The following is a 17,553-nucleotide window of genomic DNA, read 5'->3' on the forward strand; positions in this document are numbered from 1 at the left end:
CTCGATTCCTGCGCCTTGTGACGTGAGGCGTTTTGTTCCTCCCACTCCAGACACTGGACGCTCCTAGCAACCGGCTAGCAGCTCGGTTTCCAAGGACTGTAACGCCTTCAACCGCCCGCCGCGATAGAGTGCCCACGACCCTGCCTCGGGAATCCCGCTCTGCACCGCCCCACCAGACCCGGACTCGGAGCCGCGAGCGGCCCGAGATGAGCAGCAATGACTCCTCCCTTATGGTGCGTGGCCCGGGCGCTGTCCGAGGGCTCCCTCGTGACTCCCCGCCCCTGACCCAGAGACCGTCTGCCCTGCTACTCTCCTGCCACCCTTCGCTGTCCTCAGTTATATCAGGCGGTCCTGCCTTTTCTTGCCCCACTCCCCCTGGCAAGGGCGTCTTCTCCGGTGGCTTCTGCGCACCCTGAGCCCCAAATTAGCATCCCCGTTTCTTGAGCTACCCCAAACCAGCTCATCCAATCACTATCATTATCCCTTCTTGTCATCATCCCTTCTTCCACCCAGCTCACTCTCGCCTGCGCCTCCCACCCCAGTTGATGGCTTCACCATTTAATCTCCTAGCCTTAACTCATACCTCTTCCCTATACTCATCTTCTAATCCTGTCTACAAGAAATGCCAGCTCCTTGATGTCTCCTGGGTTTTCTTTTTATCTTTTTATCTTCTAGCCCAGAACCAGCACCATCTCTCCCCCCTGAGAGCCTGCAACAGCCTCCCTCCCATCTGGTTTCTCTGCTGTGGCTCTTTTCAGCATCAGTAGTCCCTGCTGCCACCACGGCACACACCCCCCACATGCAAAAGCAGCCAGAGTGGTTGTTGCAAAAATGTACATCTGAAAACATCCCTCGCCTTAAAACCATTCTGCTTTCTGTTACCCTTAGGATGGTGTCTGGGCTCTTTCATATGGCCCATGAGGATGTTTACAGTCCAACCACATCTGCTCCCAACCTAGCACCCACAAACCTTAGAGGAAGTGAAACTTAACTTTAAAATCTCAGCCCCTTTGTCAAGCTGTAGTTTCCATGGGCTTAAGCTTCCTTAGCTGTGAAAGATACTGAGAGGACCATGCACAGGATAGTGGATATGAAGCCCACAATAACTTGTAACTACAATTCGTATAATTTTTCTTATTATTTGTCCTCATTTTTCCCCCCTTATTCCCTTCCTAAGACAAAGCCTTGGTTGAATTCCCCATCATAGTTGAACCAGAATCTGTTGGTAATCCCCCAAACAAACACCTCCAAACTCTTTCCTGGGAAAACTGCATGGAGCTGCTCCCAGGGCTGTTAGAGGACAGGATGAGGCCTGAATGTTTCCTCTTTCTCTTCCCTTTGCAGAACTGAGGAGGAGCAGGGGATAGGGAAGGGAGCAGGTCTCATCCCATCTGGGACAGAACAGAGACAGAGAAGGGACTGGGCTATTGCAGTTATGTCTTCCTTCATACAGGCTGGGATCATTTACTATAGCCAGGAAAAGTACTTCCACCATGTGCAGCAGGCTGCAGCTGTGGGCCTGGAAAAATTCAGCAATGACCCTGTGTTGAAGTTCTTTAAAGCCTATGGAGTCCTCAAAGAAGGTAAGGACTTGGCAGTGTTGGTCTTGTGACCCCAGGCACTAGCTGGGCCCTAACACTCTGGCTCCACCTGGATGCCTTCTTGTATCCTAGTTATGGTCCCATAAAAACAGTTTCACACTCAGCGGCTGGATTCCCACGGGAATCCACAGAGGCCTACGTAATCCATATCTAGTTGACTTTTGAGACCTCAGAGCGCTGACTATCCCTGCTCTGCACCTCGGGTTCCCTCTCTGTAAAATGAGTGGTTGGAGAGATAGCTGCATGATTCTTGAAGTAATTCCAGGCCTGGAAGCTGAGAACTGGTAATGCAGGCAAAGGAGGGGGAAGAGGTAGGTGTGAGGACAGGTGGGTATGGTACAGGTACAGGGAGAGGAGTGAGACCCATGCAGGTGCAGATGGGCTGACATTCAGAAGGTGGTCCTAGGCTGAGGACTGGCAGAATAGCCCATGGCCAAATGTCTGAGGACATGGAGGGATAAATGTAATCAGTGGCTCTTGAGCAGTAGCTGAGAATGCCCTGCCTGAGGTCCTTCTTCAGAACTGACGCAGCTAATAATTGCAGCCTCACACATATCCCCACAAGTACTCACAGGGTGAACCTTTCAAGTCCAAGATTTCCAGCCCCTAACAGCCTGGACCATGTTACCAGCAACTCTTTCAAAGAGCCCCAATCTTCAGGGAACTTGGGTCACTGGGGACCTTTCAGACCAGTTAGTCCAGCAGGTAGTAGTGCTGAGCTGTTGGGTCAGCTACAGAGTCTCATGTCCTCTAGTCCTGGAGCTTGAGAGTATAACTATGTGGACTGTCTTTGCAGAGCACATCCAGGATGCCATCAGTGACCTGGAAAGCATCAGGCATCACCCAGACGTGTCCCTGTGCTCCACCATGGCCCTCATTTATGCTCACAAAAGATGTGAAATCATTGGTGAGTGCCACCATGCTCAACCAGGCCTGACCCACCAGGGGAAGGAAAGCCCTGCCCCAGAGATAACACAGCCCCTCAAGGGCTGCCAAAGGAGGTATGTGCCCTGGTGGCTGTGCAGATGCTGTTAACCAGTGAGAAGTGGCTGCTGCTCCTCTCCCCCTGGAGGCCTGGGAGAAGACTCCATGCCTGGGCCCAACTGAGTGGAAGCAGGCAGAGCCCATGACAGTGGGAGGGGCCCATGCTCCAGATCCCAAGAGTTGGGGAAACACCCTTCTTCTTTGCCAAGATCTTGTCAGAAAAACCAAGCCAATATATATAATTCTACCCCTAATCTCCACATTTCTAGAGTCAGGGAGAGGGTCCAAGAGAGACTACAGACTACTATTTCCCTACTCACAATAAGTTGTGGGCCTGAGGCTAAGGATTTTGGTTTGGCCTGCCTGCTCAGCACACTGCTGGGCACAGAGAAGAGAAGGTAATCTCAGACAGCACACGTGAGTCCACACCAGGGCAGCCCCTGCAGCATCTCAAGGGCAGGTACTGCTGGTTTCCAGGCCTTGGGCTGCATGCGGTGTGCTGCATATGTTGAAGGAGATCCACAGTGTCTGGGGGAGACCCCGAGGTAGTTCCCTGGGCCCTCGGTGGCCCATGCAGAACCAGGCAGACTTCCACATCCTAACTCTCCCTCTTCCTTCGCTCTTGGATTTACAGACCGAGAAGCAATTCAGGAGCTTGAGTACAGCCTGAAGGAAATACGCAAGACAGTCAGTGGGACTGCACTGTACTATGCTGGCCTTTTCCTCTGGCTCATAGGCCGCCATGACAAGGCCAAAGAGTACATTGACCGCATGCTGAAGATTTCTAGAGGCTTCAGAGAGGTACTTACCACACCATGGGGACAACAGGCGAAGAAAGCAGCATCCAAACACATAATAGCAGGGTGGCCCTCATTCCCACAAAGGGCCCTGAAACTGGGGGAGAGCCACACCCAGGCACTGGCAAAACACCGGGTCTCACAGTTGCCCCACGCGTGTTGTCTCTGGGCTTAGCAGAGGTTACACATTGGCATTTGTACACAGAGTCTGATCTTTAGATAGATTTTCTATGGCTTGCACCATATTCTTAAGAAATTTTTTTTTGAGACCTCACTGCAGCCTCAACCTCCTAGGCACAAGCAATCCTTCCACCTCAGCCCCCCAAGTAGCTGGGACCATAGGTGTGTGCCAGCATGCCCAGCTAGTTTTTACATTTTTTGTAGAGACTGGGTCTTGCCATGTTGCCCAGGCTGGTCCAGACTTACTGGTTCTTTTGAAGACCCAGATGAGCTGGCCACACTGGGCCATTCCCTCCCTGTAATGCTCTGCTGGAACTGAATGGTGGCTCATGCAGTGCAGCCCATATACTGTATATCTGCACTAATATGGAATTTGAAGCCTCAGTCTAGGCCATGCCTTCTCAGCAGGGCTGATACCAATTTTCAAGGGTGTAGACATGGTCCCTGGGGGAGAGGGTGAAAAAAATCTTACTCTTTATGTATAAAACACAGATATATATACAGTACACAATACACAGATACGGTATATCTGAGGCACTAACATTTCTTGGAAGGGGAGGGATTGATTAGAAAACAGTATCTAAAGAGACTCCTTAGGATAGATAATAGAAAAAGAGAAATAGAACTATAATAGAGAAATACTGATCTAGGCCATCAAGAGGGGTGCTTTAGGGCAGGGCTCTTCCAAGTCTGCTTCCCAGGCCTGGCCCTCCCCATCTGCCTGGAGAGGCTGGGTGAAGGCTAACATGGAACCAGCGAGGTCCACGAGCTCAGAACGGCTCCTGCTCACCCACTCAGAGGGCATTCCTTGGCTTCCTATGCAGGGCCAGGCCTCGTGCTGGCCTAAGGAGTGGAGACATCAAGAGTGGCCTTGCGTAGGCCCCCATGTTGGCTCCTGACCCCAGTGTAAACAGGCAATGACAGGATAGGTGAGTGTGCCTCAGTAAGGGTCATGGAGAGCTGTAGGGGTACAGGGAGGGAGGCCTCCTAAGCAGGGGCCTCTGAGGCTGAGTTGTAAGTAGTGGTAATGGACATTAGGTGAAGGGGTTTGGTTGGGAGTGGGAGGGGCGCTGTCCAGGGCATTTCCAGACAAAGCAACAATGGGAGTCCTGGCCATGAGAGAGAGCTGGCTGCCCTGGGATCTGCACGGGACTGTGCCTGGCAGGGCCTCAGGGTTTTGGGTGGCAAAGTGTGGATCATGTGCAGGCTGAGTTGATTCTGTGCAGGACCAAGGACTTCATCTTTCATCTTGTTCTCATCCCAGGCCTATGTGCTCAGAGGCTGGGTGGACCTGACCTCAGACAAGCCCCACACTGCGAAGAAAGCCATTGAGTACCTGGAACAAGGAATTCAGGACACCAAAGATGTGCTGGGGCTGATGGGAAAGGTGGGCAGTGGAAAAGGGAGAGGTGGAAGTATTCCTGGCCAGGCCACTGGAACCAGAGACCCACCAGGTACCCCCAGGCCAAACCCTCGTAGTCTCCAGATGCCTCATCTCGTAGATAAAGAGCAGAGGCCCAGAGAGGTTCAGCAACCAATCCAGGGTTACACAGCAGTCCAAGGTCCACTCTACTTCTCAGATTTCTTCCTGCTTGATCTGAGTTTCTGTCTCATTTGCATGGGGGTCTTCTCAGGGTCACTTTCTTAAGGTCTATCCTTCCTTGACCCTCTCAGGCTTTCTCTCTGCCTCTGTGTTAGTTTCACTCAGTGCCCTTCTCCCTTTCTTCTTTTATTTTGACCTTCCCATTTCACTTCTTTCTACCTGTTAAATTCATTTAGTGTGCCGTAAGAGAAGGGAGGTATATATTTTATATGTTCTGTGTTTTCTGATCTTAAGTTTCTTTTTTCTCTTGTGAACCTCATGGAATTAATCTTTGAGAGAAAAAATGTCCTCGTATTTTCTTCTGTTTGCATATATTTTTATTATAAAAGAATACATACTTATTTAAGAAAACAGAAGCCTAAAAAAAGTCAACAGATGAATTAAAATGGCAGGCTTAGTCTTACCGCTCCAAGACAAATGTTAGTATTTTAGGGCAATGTCTTCTAGTCTTCTTTCTATACTTGGGTCCAGGGTGTGTATTAGGTTGGTTTTCTGGCTGGCAGAAAGCAATGGAGATTATTGTGAGCCAGCTTATCACAGAGCACCCTTGGGGCCAGCACCTGTGGAAAGAGAAGGCGGGCTGTGAATAGTCACAGCAAAGGCCACAGCCTACTCTTTGGGGAACTCTGGAGCCGGGATGCCCCTTCAGTGAGCTCCCCATCAGTGCCTTGACACTGGAGGTGGGCTGCCCCAGGGACAGGTGTGACCTGGGACAAAGCAGCTCCCTTCAACCATGGGTGATCCCTGGAGGGAGACTCCATGGAGAGCCATCAGCCACCAACTCTCCTGCTCCTGATGGTAGGGGGTGGGTCACACACAGCAGTCACTGTGGGGTGGGAGACAGTGTTGGTCTATAACGTAGTTTTCACCCTAGGGCATATTGTCATTTAGTTTGTTTTTCTTCATGTAATATTTTCTTTGTGTAATATTCAAAATGTCAGTTTGAACATGGATATAAAGCCAGTCTTCTACTGTATGAGCATAATGTAATTTACCAACCCAGTCCCCTATTGTTTGGATATTGGGATTGTTTCCAGTTATGCACTTAAAGTGCTTCAATGAACACATTTATGCGTAAGTCTTCATTATACGGAATAATCCTCTTGTTTTTAATGACGAGTCTCTTAATGGGGGTTACTGTAGGTCTAAGGGAAGCCGTCCTTTCAGAGTCCAATTTCAAGTCTTTTAGAAGCATTGCCCCCTGGCCCTTAGGGCACCTGTGTCATGACCCTTTGAGGAGAAACTGGTGGCTGGTGTTGGCCTGCAGAGGCCATGACCACAGCCCAATAGGCCTTGACAGAACAACAACAAAAAAAACGCCACAACCTTGCTATAGAAGTAGTTGCCAGAAAACCCTAACTGACTCAGAATTGCTAAACTGGGCCTTGGCGAGCAATTTCAGTGAGGAAATATGGAAAAGTGAATGGGAAATGAATGGAAAATGTATGGAACTGGAAAGCACCCAGTGACCTCACCTCTCCCCTTCAGGGTGACCTCACATGGCCTTACCCTATCCCAGGCCTGCTAAGTTTTCCAAGCTTGAGGCTTAGCTATCTCCCCAAAGCCCCTGCTCATCCTGTCCGAGAACCCAAGACTGTTGTAAACCTGGATATGTCACTCCTTCTCCCGGGAACTTTGAGGGGCTACTGGCCCAGCTGAGAGGACCCACGGTGCCCATGTGTCAGGTTCTGTTCCTGTTTTCATGGAGACACAGAGACAACCCCCCTCCAGCAAACTCCCTTCATGGGCACTCCCTTCACGGAGGCTCTTCTGTCTGGCTCCCAACAGGCAATGTACTTCATGATGCAGCAGAACTACTCAGAGGCCCTGGAGGTGGTGAACCAGATCACTGTGACTTCAGGGAGCTTCCTGCCAGCCCTCGTCCTGAAGATGCAGCTGTTCTTAGCTCGGCAGGACTGGGAGCAGACAGTAGAAATGGGACACAGGTGAGCTACTGCACAAATGGGCAGCCAAGGGTGGTAACAGGTATTTACCATCTTATAAGCTGGGGAGGCAGGAGAACAAGACAGAAAGGTAAATATCGCCCATAGAGGAACTGGGAATTGTGCTATGGCCAAATTGGGATGAGGAAGAGAGCAGGGATGGGTGCAAGCAAATGAAATACACATGATAACATGAGGCTAGGAGCTGTGGCCTATGATGGCTAAATCAAGAAACAGAGGGTAAAGGCTTATTGTTTAGAAGAGACAGGGAAGGACCCATCAAAAGAACTAAAGCAAGAGTTACAGGGTAGAAAGCAGTTGCTATGAAGACTGGCAGGAGAATGAGACTAGAATATATTGCATTATTAAGGTTTTTTTAAAACTATTAAGTATAGTATACCTTAATAAAAACTTTAGGGGAAAAAAGTCACTGGTGACTTTGAGAGAAGTGTTTTAGCAGCAGGCTGGGTACATAAACCAGAGAGCAGATTTCAGGAGTTATTGGGCATGTAGAAACCAGACTCCAAGTGTAGAGTGATCTGGAAGCATTGTGAAGAGAAATGACAGCCGCTTTGGGGAGGGTGTTTGATGCAAGGCTTTTGGGGAACCAAAAAAAAAAAAAATTATCTCTTTAAACTCTAATGGGCACAGTGGCTCATGCCTGTAATCCCAACACTTTGGGAGGCCGAGGCAGGAGGATTGCTTGAGCCCAGAAGTTCAAGACCAGCCTCGGCAACATAGTGAGACCTTGTCTCTACAGAAAATTAAAAAATAAAATCAACTGGGCATGGTGGTGTGCACCTGAAGTCCCAGCTACTAGGGAGGCTGAGGCAGGAGAATCACTTGAGCCCAGGAAGGTTGAAGCTGCAGTGAGCTGTGATTGTGTCACTGTGCTCCAGCCTGGGTGACAGAATGAGACCCTGTCTCGAAAAAAATAAATAAATAAAACAAAATAAAAATAAACTCTAACACTTTATTTTTATCGCAATCATTCTAAAATGTGTCATCTTCACTTTTTTCCCATAAGGAGTTAATGGCCCATGAGTTATCACTATGACTTGTAACTGAATTATAGGGAAATATATAGCACAGGTCTAAAAAAAAAAGCATATAATCAAACCTCTTCCTTCCCTGGAGAAGAATCCTAATTCCTCTGCTGATGACTGGAACTTGAATCTTATAGAGAGGTGCTGGTAGCAAATCAAACTTATCTCTACCCTGCCCAGCGCCACACATGTAATGCCTGTGTGGACCTCAGCTTCCCTCTCTCGCAGTGTAAACCTGGCCTTGGTAGGAGCTTGCTTTGGAGGCTAGGCCTCAGGCCAGCAACTCACCTGGAAGCACCTGGCTGAAGCCATATGTGGATGTTTGTGGCCTCCCTGGCCCTGGCCCTGCTGTGCCCATGTGCAGGGAGACAGTGTGTGGGGCCAACAGATTGAATCCAGTGCCCCAGCGTGTTCCCTCATGGAAGCTTTCCCAGTTAGTGGGATTCATAGAATTCCCTCACTGATTTTTAAAACTCTGCTCTGTAAAGATGTGTTTCTGTTTTCACCCCTAATATATTTTTTCTTTCTTATTTTTCTTCATTAATATTAAAAGTTTGCCTCTCTTATTAGTCTTTTTAAAGAAACAGCTTTGAGTTTTGTAGCTCCTTTCTATTATATTCTAATAAAATAGAAATTTTGTATTATAAATTCTATATCATATTCTTTGTGTATTCTAATTTATTAATTTCTGCCCCCCCCTTTTTTTGGGGGGGAATGTCTTGCTTTGTTGCCTAGGCTGGAGTGAAGTGGCATAATCATAGTTCACTGCAGCCTCGAACCCCTGGGCTCAAGTGATCCTCCCAACTCAGCCTCTTGAGAAGCTAGGACTACAAGCAAGCACCACCATACCCAGCTATTTTTTTTATAAGCTATTTTTTGTTTTTATGTTGCCCAAGCAGGTGTCAAACTCCTGGGCTCAAATGATATTCTTGCCTCGGCTTCCAAAAGTGCTGGAGTTATGGGTATGAGCCACCATACTCAGCCTAATTTCTGTTCTTAACTTTTTTATTTCCTACCAACTGCTTTCTTCCAAGGTATTTTGCTATTGTATTCTAACTTTTTAAAAATTTTAGTTTTTAGTTTTATTTTTTAATTTTTAATTGGTAGAGATGGGATCTCACTGTGTTGCCAGGCTGGTCTTGAACTCCTGGCCTTAAGCAATCCTCCCACCTCAGCATCCCAAAATGCTAGGATTACAGGTGTAAGCTACCGTGTCTGGCCTGTTTTCTGACTCTTGAGTTGGATGCCTGTCTCAACCATTCTCAATTTTACTTTGGAATATAAGCATTGAAGTCTGTGCGTGTCCCTTGAGGTACCATTTTTGCACAGTCTACACATTTGGATATGTAATATTTTTCCATATCATTTGGCTCCAAGAATTTTCTAATATCTGTTTGATTCTTCTTTGGTCTATAAGTTATTTCAAAGTATGTTGCAGTTTTTGTTAATTCTCACATGTATGAGGTTTACAGTGCTTTCAGAAGTATCAGAAATGGTTAGAACTTTTTCAATGCTGATTGTGTCTAATCATGTCGGAATTTAGTATGTGAATTAGACTAACCTGCTATTAAGCAGAAAGTCATTCCCTGATAGGCTGAAAAATGGGAAAGAATCTTTCTATAAAGAAATAGAATATTGAAAACCTCATAGTATGGTCAGAAGCTATAGCTTCACAATAGTACAAAATTGAAACCCAGGTTCCTTTTCCATCTTACAGTGACTGCCCCCCAAGTGCCTTTCTGGCCACCTCCAGTCTCTGGCACCATGGTCATGTCTGGTTAGTTGGGTTATGAATAAGTTTCTGTGGCAAAGATACCCTCAGATACACAACTTAAATAACATAAAAGGTTATTCCTCCTCCAGGCAAAGTTGGTGGTGGCTCAGGGCTGGGATGACAGCTTAACTCTGGGGAGTCCCAGGCCCCTCTGTCTTGTTGCTCTGCTATTCCTAGGATAATGCTCACATGGTCCACATTCCATACAGTAGGCAGGAGGAAAGGGGGGAAAGGGAAGGCATGCTGGTAGGGCACAACTGGACAGCACACCCCTCATTTGTACTTCTATCCTGTAGGTCAGACCTTTGTCACATGGCCAAATGTAAGCTGCAAAGAGAGGCTGGGAAATGTCTTTATTCTGAGCAGCTTGTGCCTGGCTAATTTGGGAGTTCTATTATTAAAAGAAGAGGGGAGAATGGATATTCAAAGACAATCAGAAGTCGCCAACACACCATCCCAGCTTTGCCTATCAATACTCTCAATTCATGTGCCTCCTCTTCTTCCTTCAGAATCCTAGAAAAAGATGAGAGCAATATTGATGCCTGCCAAATTCTAACCGTGCATGAGCTTGCAAGAGAAGGAAACATGACCACAGTAAGTTCTTTGAAGACTCAGAAGGTGATCCTTGAAACAGAATCAAGGAGGAACCCTTCATGACCTGTGCACCTGACCCAAAGCCCTTGTAGGGAGCTCCTGGATCTCAGCTTCCTCTTTTCTACCCCACCCCTATACTCGCTGCCAAGGAGGCCTGCTCTGGTTTGACTCTTTGAGTTGTGTAGCTTGGGAGTCAGGCAGCATCAGGCAGTGAGATTGATTCTAGGCTCTGCCATGTGCTATCTGTGGAAGCCTGGGCAGGTGTCCCCACCTGGATAAGCCGCAGGCTTCCTGTTTGTAAAATAGACAGAATTCCACACAGGACTAAATGTGATAAGAAGTGGGAGAGTTTGGAACAGTCCCTGGCACACTACAGTAATTCCATCAATGTTAACTGATAGTAGAAGTCGTGGTAGTATTTCTGAATTCAGGAAATGCCTTTTTTTTAGGGGATAGTTGGAACTGCTCAGGCATTGGCCAGGTAATACTGGGCCCCAAACATGCTCGTAAGTCTTGTAGTTTTCCAAAGAAACCAAAAATAGCCCTCAAATGCAGTCAGAAACACCTAGAATTCTTAGTGAAACCTCAATACCCAGACAGGTTCTCATTTTCAGAAAGGTTTGTTTTTAGCCAAAGCATTGCCTTTTAGATCAGTGAAATATATTGCCTCTATGGAGAGCATGGCAAACCAGGAGTCTCTAAGGGGTCATGGTGGGAAGGGGAAGCTTCTGGTTTCTTCTGCACAGCTCTGAGATTGTGGATTTTGTGGGATGGGGTGAGGTAGAGGGGAGAGTCCGTATTTGGGAGAAAAAGGCCCCAGCCCTTTTCGTCTCTGGGTAGGAATAAGAGAATAGGACTATCCTCAGCTCCCTGTGACTCCAGATCCCTAAGCAGGCCTTCCTGGGGCCTGGCCTGAAAGTTAATCCCAGGGGCAGACTTAGCATTTAGCTAACTGAGATTTAGCATTAGCCCCTTTTTTACTCCCACTTCAAACCTTGGGACCTCCCCACCGACCCCGGGCTGGCTACCCAGTTCTAATTTTGTTCATACTTACTGAACAGAGTGGACCCATACCATCCTTGGTTTTGCTTTTGGCACTTCTCTGCAGCTGGGAACTAAGAATTCCTTACTCCTGGGTGGGGAGTGGGAAAGAACCTAAGCTTTGGAATCTGTCAGTGACCTAGGTGGCTGGGTGACCTCAGACCAATTGCCTAACCTTTCTAACCTTTCATGTGTTGGACAGGAAGGTTTGGAAAGTTCGAATAGTTATACTGACTTACATTTGATTCATGTCAAAATGGAGCAGAGGCTTCTGGGCCAGCACTAGTTAGTTTGCTGCTGGCCTGGCAGGCTGCACTGTGGACACAGTGAGGGCTAGCTCCTGGCTCTGCCTGGGTGGGTCTGAAAAGGCAACTTCTCTTCACAAACTCAGGAACAGGGCTACTCTATGGGTTAGCCCTGCTCCATAAGGAGCAGTCAAAAAAAAAAAAGAAAAAAAAGAAAAAAAAAAAACAAATTCAAGAACAGAGGGGCAGTGCCAGCTCTGGGTGAATAATGTCCCCAGGAGTTCCACTTATAGGCCTTTGAAGTAATTCTGATGCCTGGACCACTCCAATTCACTTAAATCTGAATTTCTGGGGGGTTGTGCCTGGGCATGGGCATTTTTTAAATCTCCCAGCTGATGCTACTATGCAGTCAGGGTTGAGAACCACGGCGCAACTCTGACCTTGCACCTTGCATGTTGACATTCTCTGTTTTGTCCCTGCAGGCTACCAATCACGTTAGAAATCTGATTAAGGCACTAGAGACAAGGGAACCCGAAAATCCAAGCCTCCATCTTAAAAAAATTATTGTGGTTAGCCGACTGGTAAGAAGGTTCTTTCCTGGTTCTGAAATGGTGCTTCTCCCTGCTTTCCTTAGAGGAGAACTGTGCTCCCCCAGGAAGCTCCTTGAGTGCCTTACCCCTCCCTTCTGGCTCAAACTTGTCCTTTAGGGTAGTGGCTCATATCCTGCTGTGCCTACTTGCCTCTGGCTGATAACTGTGACATGTGGGTTCTACATCCTTAGCCTAGGTGCCCCCTCAGAGATGCCATGAAGATCAGGGAGACGGGGTCTGAAAGTGCTTTTGGAGTGGGCTGTGCCTTATTTGGGGAAAGCGGGTGGTATTGCAGCTGTTATGCAGCAGAGCCACACCCAGCTCTAGCCTCTAGTGCCTGGGTGCCCATCTCCCATATTCTTTTTTGTGGAGGTGACCTGAGAAGGCTGGCCTGCCTAGGCCTCTCAAACATCAGGGAAGGTTCAACTAGACCAGGTTGCCAACAAATCTGTATCTCTTTCAGACCCTTCAGCCCCAAAGCAAGATTTACTAGAAGTAGTTGCTGTAAGAATGAAGGCAACTCTGGGACCCCAGGAACCAGAACTGTGGAGTTGCATAGGCACCATCTCTCCCTCTGTATGTCTGATTCTCTCTGCCTTGTTCTCCACACATGGCAGGGAACATGGCTGATGGCAGCCTTTGGGGCCACTTCTTATTACTGGACACATTCAGCTTCAATTTTTGAAAAACCTCTTGGTGACTCCTTAGACCAATTACTGTGACCAGACAGGGGATAGGTCCCTCAGAGGACCCTGTGGCTAGAGGCAGGTTCCACAGTTGTGGCCAGTGAGAGGTTCCTTGGGAGCCAGACAGCAACACAGACCCAGCTGCCTAGACACACGGTACCTCTTGGCTCTCCTGGGCCTACCAGCCCTGCCTACCAAAGTGTCCCCCGTTTCTGACATGACCTTGCTCATACAGGCTGGACTGACTGGTTTCCCAATTCCCACCTTCCTGTTTCTTGCAGTGTGGGAGTCACCAGGTGATTCTAGGGCTAGTGTGTAGTTTCATCGAGCGCACCTTCATGGCCACCCCCTCGTATGTCCATGTGGCCACAGAACTGGGCTATCTCTTCATCCTGAAGAACCAAGTGAAAGAGGCCTTGCTGTGGTATTCAGAAGCCATGAAACTGGACAAGGATGGCATGGCTGGTTTGACAGGTATATGCAGGTGTGGCAGGGCTCAGGGATGGGTGTCGGGAGCCAAACCGGGCAGCTTCCATGGGTCCAGAAGAGAGGTGCTGGAAAGCATTCTCCTTGAAGGGTATGTGAATTTTGGGGTACAATGTATGATGGGGTATCTTTCTGGGAATCCACAAGTATAGATGTAAGAGGCACAGCAATGCTCAGAGGTATGATCAGAGTCACTCTGATCTCCACCAGACCTCCAATGTCTGTCTACACTGACTGCCCCAGAAGACTGACAGGCTGAACCTTATACTCAGTGGGCCCTGCCTCTTCTCAGGCTGCCCAGGCCGGGGTTGGAGGCAGTTCTACTCACCACCAGTCCCCACATGCAGAGCCTCTAGATTCACCTCTGTAGACCCTCCTTCAGGGCTCTGAGCTGAAAAACCACCAAAAAGAGTAGCTCTGAGAATTATATATTTCCCTGTCTGTCCAGGTGACTTTAAAAATCTTTTCTATAAATGCCAAATGAACTTTCTACAGTGCCATTTCCATTTTACGCATTTTTTAAAGCCCCCTATTCCATGGTCTGTGGTGAACTCTGAAGTGGCAGTATTTGGTTTGGGTTGAGGAAGTTGTGTGGTCCAGTGCTCAAGGCAGGCCGACTCTTGCCCTGGCTCTGAGGGGCTATGTGTTTGGGGCCAAGTCACTTCTCCTTTCTAAACTCCAGGCTCCTCATCTGCATAGCACATTTATCAGAGTAGTTTATCTTGACTTCTGGTTCAACATGTCAGGCTGACCCCCTCAAATCCATGCTTTCCCTCTGTCCCCAAATCCCATGAAAATAATGAAAGATATCTTTAAAAGGTAATGAGCCAGGCGTGATGGCTCACGCCTGTAATCCCAATACTTTGGGAGGCTGAGGTGGGCAGGTCATTTGAGGTCAGGAATTCGAGACCAGCCTGGCCAACATGATGAAACCCCATCTCTACTAAAAACACACAAAAATTAGCCAGGTGTGGTGGAGGACACCTGTAATCCCAGCTATTTGGGACGCTGAGGCCGGAGAATCACTTGAACCCGGGAGATGGAGGTTGATATGAGCCGAGATGACACCACTGCACTGCAGCCTGGGCCACAGAGTGAGACTCCACCTCAAAAAAAGAAAGAAAAAAAAAAAAAAGAGTACATAGCAGCGTGGACCAGAAACTTTGAAGAATTTCACATTTCTAGAAGATGGAAGGCAAATGGTGTCAAATACATGGGAATTCGAAGCAGATCTAGAAACCCATAAGCAAACATAGGCAGAGATGGGTTAGCTAAAGAATTTAGTAGACCAGCTTTCCCCAAAGAGTTCCAGGAAAAACAAAAACTAAAAAAGACGAGCTCAGGGTCACCAGAGGCTGAGTGTGAAAGCATGCCACGGGGCAGTGAGAGCGATAATAGGAGGATTACTGGAATCATGCCTTGGCCAGAGGCTAGAATCCAGGAGGTGTGTATTGGGTGTTGGGGCAGGAGGGAGAGGAGCACTGCTCTGGATGATTTCCCACCATAACCAGGGACATGAAGGACAAAAGGACTTGGCTGCTCAGCACAAAAGCAAAATTCCCTAGAATGTTCTTCCACCAGGTTGAGTCCTTCCCTACTTCCTCCTTCAAGGGGCAGAGTCCCAGTGGTTAGCCAGAGGAAAGTCCACTGGTCAGGATGTCTGTCCCACTCTCCCAGTCCAAGCTGAGCCCACCTGTATGTCCTGGAGTCACCATATTTTCTGCCCAGTCTGACAAAATCAGTGACCTTAACAGTGTGTAAAATGTGCCTAGTTGCTGCCCTTCCTTTATAAATCTGCTAGCAGTCTGAAAGGTTGGCCGAGTGGAACATGCAAAGCAGTAGCCCTCTGAGGAGCAGAGTTAAGGCTAGTACAGAAAAGACTTTTCCTCCCAAAACACCTTCAGTGTTTGGAGAGGCTATTATGTCAATAAGTAAAGAACATGCTACTGTGAAAAAGGTACAGGAACAAAAAAGAGTTGCCAAAAATAAAAAATATTATTGTAAGGTAAAAAATTTCATAAATGGGCCTAATAGTGGGATGGATATAACTGAAAACTAAGATGGTGATGAGGAAGACAGTCAAGAATAAATATACCAAAGTAGCAAAGAAATACCTGTGCAAGTAGAATAGCTTGCTTCAAACAGATGAGATTTGTCCTCCCAACATCAAAACATATCACAAAACTACAGTAATTAAGTCCCTTTGAGGCCAGCACTGACTGGGATAAGCAAATAGATAAATGGGATGTAACAGGCCTTATTTCAAACTAATAGGTTGTTCACCAACTCCTAGTTGGATACCCTGCTATCCATTATGAAAAAGAAAAAAAGGTAAGTTCTCATCTTACACCATACTTAAATTTCAGATGAATTAAGTATTAAACATAAAAATTAAATGAAACATGGGTTTCCCTGGGGATTCTAAGCCTAACTCCAAACTTGGAAGCTGCAAAGTTTGGCTTTGTGGCTCTACATGGAAAAAAAAAATAGAAGCTGCAAAGGAGAATATTTTACCTATTTGACTACATAAAAGCTTAAAATTACTACATGACAAGGTACTGTAAAAATAGTTAAAGGATAAATGGCAAACTAATAGAAAACACTTGCAACAAAGGGTTAATAAAACATAAAGAGAAAAAAAATCACCCCCCCCAAAAAAACCAGGCAGGCTGTGAACAGAATATTCACAGTAGAAAGGAAAAGGCTATATTGGAAATATGAACAGGTGTTCATTCTCCCTAATAGTTAAAAAAGGTGTTAAATGAAAACTAGTTACTTTTCATGTTTCAGACTGGCAAAAATTACAGCACGTTTGAGGTTATGAAGAAAGGATATTTTAAATTCTTGATAGTAATATAAGTTCAAGTATCTTTGAGGGCAAGTTGACCTTATCTATCAGTATTTTAAATATATGTGCTCTATGACCCATCAGCTCTCCCTCAGGAATTTGAACTTATGTAAATGTTCATCATAGCATTGTAGTATTTAAATACCAAAAATAAAGTAAATGTGAAATTAGATGTCCTTCAGTAGGGCAATAGTTAAATAATTAGTAGGGCAATAAATTGTTACATCCACAGTAAAACATTGTGTTGTCATCAAAGAAAATGGGGTAGATTTGTATGAAGAGATGGGAAAATATGACTATCATATACAAATTTTAAAAAGCAGATTGTGGCCAGGCGCAGTGGCTCATGCCTGTAATCCTAGCACTTTGGGAGGCTAAGGTGAGTGGATCACCTGAGGTCAGGAGTTAGAGACCAGCCTGGCCAACATGGCAAAACCCCGTTTCTACTAAAAATACAAAAATTAGCCGGGCGTGGTGGCCATGCCTGTAATCCCAGCTACTCAGGAGGCTGAGGCAGGAGAATTGCTTGAACCTGAGGGGCGGAGGTTGCAGTGAGCCAAGATCGTGCCACTTCACTCCAGCCTGGGCAAAAGAGCGAAACTCCGTCTCAAAAAAAAAAAAAAAGCAGATTGTAGAATGGTGTATGTGAAATTTGATTCCCTTTGTGTATGTGTGTGTTTTTAAACCCATTGGTATGCTCATGTGTACATATATATGTCTGAGGTGTCTATATAGTAGTAACGTATTATACCTCAAATTGTTCCTAGTGGTTATCTCTAGAGAGAGACATTGTTACAGCCAGAACATGAGCTAGGGATGTTTTTCTGTATTGCCTTAGGGTTTGAATTCTTGAGCATGAGCATGTATTTCTCTTTAAGTTTGTAGAAATGTTGGAAAAGATCCCCTACACTGAGACATCTTCCTTCCACTGTCTTATCCATGCCCCTTGACCTGATGGGCTGCTGGCTATGCTTCAGTGTTAGCTGCTCATCATTGTTTTGTCCCATTTACAGGGATCATCTTGTGTCATATCTTAGAAGGCCACCTGGAGGAAGCTGAGTACCGGCTGGAATTCCTGAAGGAGGTGCAGAAGTCCCTTGGGAAGTCTGAGGTCAGAGCTCCCTGGGGGTATGGG

The 17,553-nt window shown here is 46.8% G+C and overlaps 1 protein-coding gene across 26 annotated transcripts in view, besides 1 other annotated feature; it reads left to right on the forward strand.

Moving 5' to 3' along the window:
• The window catches only part of TTC21A (tetratricopeptide repeat domain 21A), a 31,221-nt gene continuing 13,716 nt past the window's right edge, over positions 49 to 17,553 (forward strand). For 19 of the 26 annotated variants that reach the window (NR_159494.1, NR_159496.1, NR_159495.1 and 16 more), the window contains exons 1-10: positions 49 to 233; positions 1,454 to 1,583; positions 2,398 to 2,508; positions 3,220 to 3,386; positions 4,827 to 4,949; positions 6,954 to 7,111; positions 10,438 to 10,522; positions 12,291 to 12,389; positions 13,366 to 13,558; positions 17,432 to 17,529. Coding sequence is in view for 23 of the 26 variants with exons in the window: in XM_047447647.1 (XP_047303603.1) it covers positions 207 to 233; positions 1,454 to 1,583; positions 2,398 to 2,508; positions 3,220 to 3,386; positions 4,827 to 4,949; positions 6,954 to 7,111; positions 10,438 to 10,522; positions 12,291 to 12,389; positions 13,366 to 13,558; positions 17,432 to 17,529 (1,191 nt within the window). In the remaining 3 variants the exon portion in view is untranslated. Of the gene's footprint in view, positions 234 to 1,453; positions 1,584 to 2,397; positions 2,509 to 3,219; positions 3,387 to 4,826; positions 5,017 to 6,953; positions 7,112 to 10,437; positions 10,547 to 12,290; positions 12,390 to 13,365; positions 13,559 to 17,431; positions 17,530 to 17,553 lie in introns of those variants that run through there. The other 7 variants (NM_001366899.1, NM_145755.3, XM_011533447.4 and 4 more) reach the window with 4 other exon arrangements.
• Positions 15,320 to 15,379: a silencer, noted in NCBI's record as "silent region_14218". NCBI's record gives its function as "represses an Ori minimal core promoter by ATAC-STARR-seq in GM12878 lymphoblastoid cells {active_cell/tissue: GM12878}" and the evidence as "EXISTENCE:reporter gene assay evidence [ECO:0000049][PMID:35858748]".

This window comes from Homo sapiens, chromosome 3, assembly GCF_000001405.40.
Source record: "Homo sapiens chromosome 3, GRCh38.p14 Primary Assembly".
Classification (NCBI taxonomy): Eukaryota; Metazoa; Chordata; class Mammalia; order Primates; family Hominidae; genus Homo; species Homo sapiens.